Raw genomic sequence first — 11,703 nt, forward strand, 5'->3', positions numbered from 1 at the left:
CCGGGTTCAAGCGAGATTCTTCTGCCTCAGCCTCCAGAGGAGCTGGGATTACAGGCACCTGGTACCACACCTGGCTAACTTTTGTATTTTTAGTAGAGACGGGGTTTCACCATGTTGGTCAGGCTGGTCTCGAATTCCTGACCTCAGGTGATTCGCCCACCTTGGCCTCCCAAAGTGCTAGGATTACAGGCATGAGCCACTGCACCCAGCCTCAATTGCTTGTTTTAAATGCATTTTCTGTTCATAAGATCCTCTGCCCAGATACTTATCTCCCACTCTAGGAGGAAGAGTCGGGCGATGGCAGAAGGCACAGGTGATTTGGCAAGGCTTGGAGTCGGGTGGTTCTGCCTGTGTTCCCTCGGCCAGCACCTCAGGTTTGCTATCAATGGAGCAAAGACTATACAAGCTGACCTTTCCCAGGCTAATTAGCTTCTATACTGCGGATATGGCCTGCGTGTCCTCTCAACCCACCCACACCTCTGCACAGCACCCTTCTCCTCATGCACACTTCCTCAGCTTCTAAATTTCCATGCACTCTGTGTAGAAAGTTGCTGATACGCAACATTCATGAGTTAGCATCTGGTGATGGTTGCATGGCTCTGAGGAAACTGAGAGAAATTTGACCAAGAAAAATTAGATAGTGGTAAAAAGAGTTTTTCTCCAAGTTCAAAGAGAGAAATGGAACTAAATGATAATTTGAATGATATAAGGAAAGTGTTTTAGTTACACTGGGAGGGCAAGCAAAACTAAGTTGCATATTCTTTCTCCTTAACCAAGTGAATTGAGGACAAAGACTTTGTTTTATAGCACTGGGGACCCCAGTGTATGATAGATGCCCAGTAAATAGCATCGCAGAATGGCAATTTTTAGGCTAAGAGAGGAATTGTTGCTAATTTGGCTACAACTTTATGGAAACTGGCACTTGGCCTAGAGCTCAGTGGGCCTCAGGTGAACTTGGGAAACTTCCTCTGCCCCCACAACACACAAATCCTAGATCCTCCTTGCTGTCCTTTAGATGCTTAGAAATGCCTCAGGGAGCTTAGAAGTCTCTGTTGCTTTCTTTTTTTTTTTTTTTGGATGGAGTTTCTCTCTTGTTGCCCAGGCTGGAATGCAATGGCACGATCTCGGCTCACTGCAACCTCTGCCTCCCATGTTCAAGCGATTCTTCTCCTGCCTCAGCCTCCCAAGTAGCTGGGATTATAGGTGCCCTCCACCATGCCCAGCTAATTTTTGTATTTTTAGTAGAGGTGGGGTTTCACCATGTTGTCCAGCCTGGTCTTGAACTCCTGACCTCAGGTGATGTGCCCGCCTTGGCCTCCCAAAGTGCTGGGATTACAAGTGTGAGCCATGCATCAGGCCGATGTCCTCTGTTTCTTAGAGAGTCCCCACAACCAGGAGCCAGCCAGCATCTTCAGCAAGGGTCCTGTACAGCCTCAGCACCCCATCCACAGGAATGCTAGAACTCTGCCAGAGTCCACTAGGGCAATGCAAGAGGCCTGTAGAGGTGACTTCTCAGGATGGCCGGCCAGGTGGCTCCCACTCCTGCCTGATCCCAGTAGTTTTCACACCCAGGGAGGTGGGGCCCTCTTCTGCTGCTCCTACCCCAGAGAGCCCTGGAGGGACATTGAGAAGAAAACAGTTTAGGATGCATGAAGTTAATGGTACAAATGAGCACAGAGGCTACTTAAGGTAAGACGCATCTTAACCTAGTATCTGATCTAGAGATATCCAAGAATATGCAGCATAATAAATCCATTTGAGATAATAATGTTCCATTTCCCCTAGGATCTAGGAGATCCTAGGGCATTATACCCTAGGTAACAGAGATAGAAGCTTTGCACCCAACAGGCAACAAAGCCTTTCTGTAAGCACAAAGGGGAGTTGCCATCTGAAAATGAACATTTTGTTATTTTGCCCAACTGATGAAAGAGAAGAAAATTGGGGACTTCTGTGATCTTTCATTTGTTTTTATACTTTTGTTTTTTTCTTTTGGATTGGAGAAGCGCTGAAAAATAAATCATGTATGCTATCCCTTCTTACTATTTATTATTTTGATTGTGGTAATAAAAGAGTGAGTTGATAAATAAGTGTTTGCTGGAAATACCAAACTTTGACAACCAAACTGACAGACTATCCAAAAGCTTTCATTTTAAAAGCTCTCTATGTTACAGCTATGTCTGCACTGAAACAGTGACATCACATTGTACACCTTGAATAGATACAATCTTTATCAATTAAATATTTTTAAATGAAAAAAGCTCAGTGGTTAGTCTGAAACATGTAAAGCAATTAAGCTTCAGAATCTCCTGCAAAGATGAGGATCGAGCCAGGAACTAGGTGCTTTTGGAATGCAAACTTATAATTTTGTGAAATGAAATCACAAGATAATAATAAAAGTAATAATAGTAAGTGAAAAAAGAAGCTCAGTAGAAAATGAACCAATAGGAGCAACAATTATCAGTACTCCTTGACCCAAATTATCACTGGCTTTGGAATGTAGCTATTTCCAATCCCATTTCTGGTAGGCATAAATTTTGTACAACTGACTTACTTTCTCAGAGCTTTGGTTTCATCCACTACAAAATGTGGACAATATCAACTACCCCATAAGGTAGTATTAAAAATTAAATGAGAGGCTGGGCATGGTGGCTCACACCTGTAATCCCAGCACTTTGGGGGCTCGAGACAGGTGGATCACCTGAGGTCAGGAGATCGAGACCAGCCTGGCCAACATGGTGAAACCCTGTCTCTACTAAAAAAACAAAAATTAGCCAGGCATAGTGGCATGTGCCTGTAGGCCCAGCTATAGGGAGGCTGAGGCAGGAGAATTGCTTGAACCTGGCAGGCAGAGGTTGCAGTGAGCTGAGATTGCACCACTGCATTCCAGCCTGGGTGACAGAGTGAGATTCTTGTCTAAATAAATAAATAAATAAAAATTAAACGAGCGAACACAAGTGTTGATATAGTCAGCCATCTATAGAAATTTCTCCCATGAAAATTGGCATATCTTTGAGAAGTGACATTCAATCCAAAGGCAGAGTAACTTTTCTGTGAAAATTGTTGCCATTGAAATTCTATATACTGACCATGTTTATTGCTTTAACCATTCTTGCCCACCTGCTATCCCACTTGTGAAACTGTGAAATATATATTTGGTTTCGACCCTGTTTCCTGACATATGACTCCTAAAATCCTTAGAAACACCAAAATGGTGTCTTTCTGTTTGCTAATGATTGACTGGTGGCTGGCAGCCCTTCAATAGCTTCAGCATGGGGCTGGTAACAGGAAAGAACAAGGCAGGATTAGAGGGGTAGGACTTGCAGCCTCACCCCCGAAACCTCTAGGGAGGGGAGAGGGACTCACAGTTCAATTGATTACCAATGGCCAGTGGTTTAATCAATCATGCTGACATAATGAGGCCTCCATAAAAATCCAAAAAGGACAGGATTCAGAGAGCTTCCAGATGGCTGAACACACGGAGGTTCCTGGTGGGTAATACATGGAAAAGGCGTGGAAACTCTGCACCTCTTCCCCCGTACCTTGGCCTGCGCGTCTCTTCAACTGGATCCTTTATAATAACCTAGTAAATGTAAGTAAGTTTTTCTGAGTTCTGTGAGCCACTCTAGTAAATTAATCAAACCCAAAAAGGGCATTGTGGGAACATGCACTTGAAGCCAGTCGGGCAGACGTTCCAGAGGGCAAGCTTTTGGCTGGGTTCAGGGGTGGGGGTTTGGTCTTGGCCCTCAACCTGTGGGATCTGATGTTGTCTCCAGGTAGATAGTGTCAGAATTAAATTGAAGAACACCCTGCTGGTGTCCACTGCAAAACTGATTGCTCATTTGCTGGTGGGGACCACCTATTTAGTCACAGAAGTCTTCTGTGTTGATTGTTTTGGTGTGAAAGCAGAGAAAAACACAGTTTGAGTTTTTCCAGTTTCACATCTGGTGTCAGAGGAGTGGGATTTGTTAGACTGGCTCTGGCTCATGGAAACACATGGTTTGGTGAAAGAAAGGATGCAAGGGTAGGGATAAGACCAGAATCCTTTGATTCCTGGGTGGCCACATGGTCATGCACAGTGTGGAGCTGTTGAGTTACTAAAGGTAAAAATTACTGGTGTAAGAATTAACAAAAGAAGAAAGAAACACAAAAGGTGGCTTGATATTTTAGAGAAAATAAACCTGAGAGGTGATTCTGGCCGTTAGGTCAAAGGACTTTTTTTTTTTTTTTTTTAGATGGAGTCTTGCTCTGTCCCCCAGGCTGGAGTGCAATGGCATGATCTCGGCTCACTGCAACTTTTGCCTTCCAGGTTCAAGGGATTCTCCCTGCCTCAGCCTCCCAATTAACTGGGATTACAGGCACCCACCATCACACCTGGCTAATTTTTGTATTTTTAGTAGAGATGGGGTTTCACCACATTGGCCAGGCTGGTCTCGAACTCCTGACCTCAGGTGATCCACCTGCCTCGGCCTCCCAAAGTGCTGGGATTACAGGCGTGAGCCACTGTGCCTGGCCCCTACTCTCTTACAGACTAAGAGTTTTTAAGGATTCAAGATGGGAGAGTTTATCAGAGGCTTGGACTGCTTCTATATCTCTTTGTTGTGCTTATCTGGGAGGGAGAGTTGTGTGTCTGTTCCCATACATCTTCCTGCAGCTGCAGGCGTATCCCCCGAGTCTGCTTTTAGCTTTCCTATCTTAGTGCCCCTGCAGGGAAAGGAATGTGCTAATCAAGACCCACTGTTTTACTGGGGCCCATTGTATGAGGGTGAAGTTTGGCAGTTACCCAAGAGACTTCCCCCACTCCCCGCTCTGTGCCAGAGCTGTCTTATCTGTGTTTCATTGTCTGCTTTTCTGGCTGCTTGTTGTTAGAAGTGATTTTCTTGAAATGCATGAGGCTAGAAAGGGAGCTGGAACTTAAAGAGGCAGTGTTTGTCTGAGATGATGGTGCTCCTGCTCTGTCAACCAGAATTTTTTTTTTTTTTTTTTTTTTTAAAGACAAGATCTCTGGCTCTGTCGCCCAGGCTGGAGTTCAGTGGTGCCACTGTGGTTCACGGCAGCTGACTTCTTGGCTTCAAACAGTTCTCTTGCTTTGGCCTCCCAAAGTGCTGGGATTACAGGCATGAGCCACCACATTTGGCCACCGGTGGAATTTAGAGATGGATCCAACTCTCAGGGGGTTGGTTCCCCGGATGCATAAGAAAATGCAAACTGATAAGTAAAAAGCAAAATATTCAATCCCTTGGTTATTGTTATCTGTAATAGCTATGCAGACCAAAAGTTGAAATAACACGCACTATAAACTTAAAGAAACTTACTTTTATCCTGAGCCAAGTTTGAGGACTAATAGCCAAGAAACAGAAACTCAGTGCAAACTGAGAATGTGTCCCGTGCACTATTTACATGTTGGGAATGGGAGGAGGGGGCAAAGGCGACATTGTTCCAATTCTATTTACGTGTTCTTTTATATAGAAGACGGGAAGAGTAAGGCAAAGGTGACATTGTTCCAATTCTACTGGTGCTCAGTTGCTTTGTACCTAAGATAAAGCAAATGAGCAGTTAATGTTTATGGGTTGAAAGGCTTAGGAAGTATGCAGGCATCTTAGGGTCTGGAGAGGGGTGATTGATTCTATCCTGCCTTTGGGCTTCATCTGATAGGCAATGTTGTCATCAGTACCTGCCAGTGAAATATTTGAGACTCCAGCCTTGCAGGGGAGGGTTGAGCTTTAGCTTACAGGTCTAGTATCTATTGCCTGTATGTCCAACCTGCAGCCATCTTGAATCGCCTAAACATTTTTTTCTGGGCTGGCTGCAGTGGCTCACATCTATAATCCCAGCACTTTGGAAGGCTGAGGTGGGAGAATTGCTTGAGCCCAGGAGTTTGAGACCAGCCTGGGCAATGTAGCGAAACCCTGTCTCTACAAAAACTGTTCAAAAAAAAAAATAGCCAGGTGTGGCAGCATGCACCTATGGTCCCAGCTACTCGAGAGGCTGAGGTGGAGGCCCTGGAGGTGGAGGCCTTGGAGGCTGAGGCTGCAGTGAGCCATGATAGTGCCACTGCACTCTAGCCTGGACAGCAGAGTGAGACCCTGTCTCAAAAAAATTTTTTTTCATATTTTTCTTTTTCTGACGGCTGAAATGAAAATAAAAGAGAGTGCTGGGTCAGAGCTTGATGCTAGACCAAGCTCAGATTTCAGTGAGTCTGAGCTTTGGCCACTAGCCTCAAAGCTACGCACAAAGGAGAAAATTATGCAGGGACAACAGAAATACCTCTGAGACCCATGATTACCAAGAAAGTAGTCAGTGCGGGGGGAGGACAAAACCAAGTAACTGTTGAAACCAGAGGGTATGGTGGAAGGAATTGTTCATTTTGGAGACCAGTATCATTAGCTTTTACTAAAGCGGATTCTGAAGTAACTGACTTAGGAGCAGGGTCTTTGGTTTTGTATGCTACAGGGTGCAAGAGCATGTTTGGGTCGATGAGGGACCCACAGTTCACTATTGAACATCACAGATGGCTATGTATGATGCAGACACAGAGGAGGTTATTTCCGAGGAAACAGCCAACCTGGTGGATTGGAAAAAAGCCACTGTAAGGTCTGTTTACCCTGAGAAGGGAAACTGTCCCTCTCCCCCTGTAAATGCCAAGTGGAGCAACCCAGATGAAGCAATTGATATCCTTCATATGTAAGCCATGTGGGACTGGTTTTCTGATGAATGAATATTCACCTGCTGAATGTGCCTGTTACCCAGGTCATGGTAAATGCTGTGGTTAAGGGGACCCCTTCTGCATGGGCACCTCGTGTAACTTTATTGCTGTAAAATCCAGCTATGGTCAGAGAAGCCTTACGTAATTTACAGCTTTCCCTCATGGGGCTTACAGATGCTAATAAAACATTAGGGTAATTAACAAGAGAACGGGGAAAGGCAAAAGGGAGAGTCAGAGGTTCATCCCAGGAAGTGGAAATGTTTAAATTTAAAAAATAAAAACATTTTTATATGTTATTAAGAAATAAGGTGAATGTTTTTAAAAACTGATAAAGGTGAAACACAGGGGAAAAGGAAAGGAGAGAGTCATGGGACTCATCCCAGCAGGGTGGAAATCTTTAGACGGTTATTTAAAAATGGAATGAATAAATAACTTGATGGAGTTGAAAGAAAGGTCTTAACACAATACTATCAAAGGTTGGATGGACCAAAGGGAGTCCGGCCCCCATTCCCCCATATTAAAGGATCGCAAACCAGTTTTCTGTATTTTCCCCAGTTTGGAGGAATTTTAAAAGGCAAAAAGATTACTATGAGAAATCCCACCTGGAATTGCCTGGGGCAATAGACTGGCTAATCAAGGTAAGCAGAGACCAGAGTCACTTGGCCAGACCCTTGCTGGAGACCAAAAGCCTTTTATATAAGAGAGGGTGAAAGTGGTCTGGGGATGGAGAGCGAAGTTCCTGGGACTAGAACATAAAAATGTAAGCATTGATAAGATTAAGAAAGTTGGAATGTTTACACCGCCTTCATGTAAAGTAGTTGTGTTTCCTTTACTTAAATGTTTTATAGGAACAGACATTGTATGTGAGTGGGGAATATTCTCCCTACTTATTTCTGGAAAACAGAAGGCATGTGAACCATCCTAAAAACAATATTAATTAGACATGCTAAAGGGGAACCAGTAAGATTACCTGAGCCCACACAGAAGACAGCAGAAGCTGGAGTGCCTGGAGAGACAGATTCTCCACTTGAGTACCCAGTACCCAGAAGAGCTCCATCATCATGAAAAGAAAATGGTTGGCCCAGCGTGGTGGCTCACACCTGTAATCCTAGTACTTTGGGAGGCTGAGACAGGCGGATCACGAGGACAAGAGATGGAGACCATCCTGGCCAACATGGTGAAACCCTGTCTCTACTAAAAATACAAAAATTAGCTGGCTTGCGCCTGTAGTCCCAGCTACTTGGGAGGCTGAGGCAGGAGAATCGCTTGAACCCGGGAGGTGAAGGTTGCAGTGAGCCGAGATTGCGCCACTGCACTCCATCCTGGTGACAGAGTGAGACTTGGTGTAAAAAAAAAAAAAAGAAAATAGTTGATACAGGGACATGCTACTGGGGGAATGCAGGGAGGCACCCACCATCCCCACAAGCAGGTGGCCTCTTTTCCTCCAAGATTGACTTTGAAACCATCTGAAGAGCTGCTGGTACCGATTTCCACTTGCCCTACAAATACCTCTTAACTGAATGATAAACAACTGCTTGGTTTGTGGACGGCAGTTCCAGGCAAGGGGACAACATTCTGTTTGGAAGCTGCCACTCTGATCAAGGAAGTCAAAAGCAAATCAGCTCGGTGGCCGACCTGCATGCTGCTTTCCTAGCAGTGACTGAGCGGTGGCGAAGCCTCTGTGTCTGGTTTTCACTGACTCATGGGCAGTGGCCAATGGCCTGGCGACATGGTCAGGCAGAGGGGCAATGGAAACCTGGTCTATTAAAGGGATGCCCGTATGGGGCCCGGCCCTGTGGAAATCTGAGGGTTGCATGAAAGCAACACATCAAACGCCCATCAGAAAATCTCCCTTCCAGGTTGGAAAGTCGCCTGGAATTGGCAGATATCCCTGTTTGCTGTTCTCACTCAGGGTGGCCACCTGGCTCCGTGAAATGAGTGGCTATGGGAACTACAGCAGCGCAGAGATGGGCTGAGTCTAGACACGTTCCTCTTGCACCCTCTCAGGCACAAGATGCCAGTAAGAACTGTTCTGTCTGCCCGCAAGACAGACAGACACTGCCGATGGCTCCGGGATAGGTTCGGTGGTGGGAAGGCCCTGAACACAGCTGGCAAGTGAGACTGATGGGGTGGCCCTGGGGGCAACACACGGGTTCTGACGGGAATGGACGCTGGCTCGGGACTGGGCTTGGCTTACCTGGTGGGAGATGCAAGGACTCAGGGTGATCTCCAGAGCAGGAGATACTACACAGATGTGGAAGCCTACCATCATTTCTCCAGAGGAAGGAACACACGGTACAGCCCGTGCTGTCTGACAGTGGGAAGGAGAGGTCCCCCTCAGAGTTATAGTTTGAGAGGGAAGTGGAGTGGGCCTTGGTTATCTGAACCAGGGAGAGATAAGACCATGAAGGGTTGGCTGACCTGCCTTCACAAGTGTGTGCTTTTATGTACCAGGAGTGGGGCTAAAGAAGGGTCCCCATTCAGTTTTCCTCTATTTTTCTAGTGGACCTGGGAAAGGAGGGGCAGGGAGGATGCTGGTATGACTGCAATTCTTGACAAGGGAAGAGTACACTAGTATAATGACTATGATTTTTTCCTTTTTCTCCACATCACCTCAGGTTTCTTTTTCCCCTACCTGATGCAGTGGTCCTAGGATGAGGGCTACAAGTACAAGTGCAGGAAGCAGGGATGACTCCTAAGCAACAAACTGTAGCTGTGTTTCTCAACTTTATGCCGGCATTTCTAAGGGCCTGATAGAAGTGGGTTGTACAAAATTTGGGTTCATTAGTTTATACCTATGTAACCTTACCTCATCTGAGTGGGAGTGGGAGTGGACTGGGGGGAAGCACTCACTAGGCTAATATTGCTGCCTGCAATCTAGACCACCACTGTGGTGAGATATATATATATATATATGCCTGTGTGACAGAGACCCCTGTCTCAAAAACATAATACATAATTTTTTATATAATTTTTTATTTTTTGAGACAGAGTTTTGCTCTTTCACCCAGGCTAGAGTGCAGTGGTGTGATCTTGGCTCACTGCAACCTCCACTTCCCGGGTTCAAGCGATTCTCCTGCCTCAGCCTTCCAAGTAGCTGGGCCAGAATGCCTGGTTAATTTTTGTATTTTTAGTAGAGATGGGGTTTCATCATGTTGGCTAGGCTGGTCTCGAACTCCTGACCTCAAGTGATCTGCCCACCTCAGCCTCCCAAACTGCTGGCATTACAGGTGTGAGCCTCTGTGCCTGGACTTTATATAATTTTTTTTTTAGACAGAGTCTTGCTCTGTCGCCTAGGATGGAGCAATCCCATCAGGAAAAAGAGAAGTCCTGAATGATGTTATGTAAAAGTACACCATGCTACCCATTGTCTCAGAAGACATTCTGACCAAGGCTACTGGTGCCTTTTTTTTTTTTCTTGAGATGGAATCTTGCCCTGTCGCCCAGGCTGGAGTGCAGCGGCACAATCTTGGCTCACTGCAACCTCCGCCTCCCAGGTTCAAGCGATTCTTCTGTCTCAGCCTCCTGAGTAGCTGGGACTACAGGCGTGCACTACCACACCTGGCTAATGTTTGTACTTTTAGTAGAGACGGGGTTTTACCATGTTGGCCAGGCTGGTCTTGAACTCCTGACCTCAAGTGATCCGCTCACCTTGGCCTCCCAAAGTGCTGGGATTACAAGCATGAGCCACTGCGCTTGGCCATCCTGGCACCTTTCATCATGAATGGAATGTGCCTTGCCAATTCAGGTTTTCAGCCCTAACCATTTGTCAGGTAGCTCTGCTCTAGCTTACCCTATTGTGACCTGGTATCTGGTCTCCATTTTCAAGGAGTTGCGTTGCTGCACCGTGGAACCCCAGGCTCCTGCACAGCGACTCCTGTTGGTGATTTCCAAATAATGGCTGAGGTTCCCACTCGGGGAGAACAGGTCATGGTGTGGATGGGGCAGCTATTGGAGGCCTGCAGCCTTGGAAGTTTCAACTCAAACACCCCCACCACCTTAGAGTTCCTCCTCAGGGACAAAGCATCCATTTTAATGATGAGAAAGGACCCATCTGCTGCCCACCACCAAAGGCAGCAGAAAAATGTCTAACATCATAAAGAGCATCAAATAACACACACTCTTCTATTTAGATCTAATAGACTTAACAGATCTTCTATTGAGATCTTTTATTTTAGATCTAATATACCATGGACACCTTTCTTTGTCGATATATATAGAGCATTCTACTGTTAGACCACATCAAATTCATTTAACAATCTCTTTTTCTCCTGTTGATGGACATTTAAATTTTTTTCACTTACAAACAACACTGCAATGAATATCTTTGTGCACGTGTTTTTATAGATGTTTAAAAATATTGTTATAAAACTGATATCTGGGCCGGGCATGGTGGCTCACGCCTGTAATTCCAACACTTTGGGAGGCCAAGGCAGGCAGATCACCTGAGGTCAGGAGCTTGAGACCATCCTGGCCAACATGGTGAAACCCCGTCTCTACTGAAAATACGAAAATTAGCCGGGCGTGGTGGGGCATGCCTGTAATCCCAGTTACTCGGGAGACTGAGGCAGGAGAATCACTTGAACCCGGGAGGTGGGGGTTGCAGTGAGTTGAGAATGCACCATTGCACTCCAGCCTGGGCAACAAGAGCAAAACTCCATCTAAAAAAAGTAAATAAATAAAAATAGAAATAAAACTAATCTCTGGAAATGGAACTACTTGCTGAAAAAAGTTATTTTAATGTGTACTCCCTCTGTAGTTAAAGAGAATGTCTATAACCCTCACAACTCATAAATCAGCTCACTTTATAGGTAGAACATGACCTAATAGCTGGATTTTTTTTTTTTTTTTTGAGATGGAGTCTCCCTCTGTCGCCTAGGCTGGAGTGCACTGCAATCTCCGCCTCCTGGGTTCAAGTGATTCTTCTGCCTCAGCCTCCCCAAGTAGCTGGGACTACAGGCATGTGCCATCACACACAGCTAATTTTTTTTTTTGTATTT

The 11,703-nt window shown here is 45.5% G+C and overlaps 2 annotated features.

Annotated features, from left to right (window-relative positions):
* Positions 8,376 to 8,876: an enhancer, noted in NCBI's record as "H3K4me1 hESC enhancer chr9:99817940-99818440 (GRCh37/hg19 assembly coordinates)". NCBI's record gives its function as "activates a minimal SCP1, AML or CMV promoter by ChIP-STARR-seq in naive H9 embryonic stem cells {active_cell/tissue: H9 hESC(naive)}" and the evidence as "EXISTENCE:reporter gene assay evidence [ECO:0000049][PMID:30033119]".
* Positions 8,877 to 9,377: an enhancer, noted in NCBI's record as "H3K4me1 hESC enhancer chr9:99818441-99818941 (GRCh37/hg19 assembly coordinates)". NCBI's record gives its function as "activates a minimal SCP1, AML or CMV promoter by ChIP-STARR-seq in naive H9 embryonic stem cells {active_cell/tissue: H9 hESC(naive)}" and the evidence as "EXISTENCE:reporter gene assay evidence [ECO:0000049][PMID:30033119]".

This window comes from Homo sapiens, chromosome 9, assembly GCF_000001405.40.
Source record: "Homo sapiens chromosome 9, GRCh38.p14 Primary Assembly".
In the NCBI taxonomy this organism is placed as follows: Eukaryota; Metazoa; Chordata; class Mammalia; order Primates; family Hominidae; genus Homo; species Homo sapiens.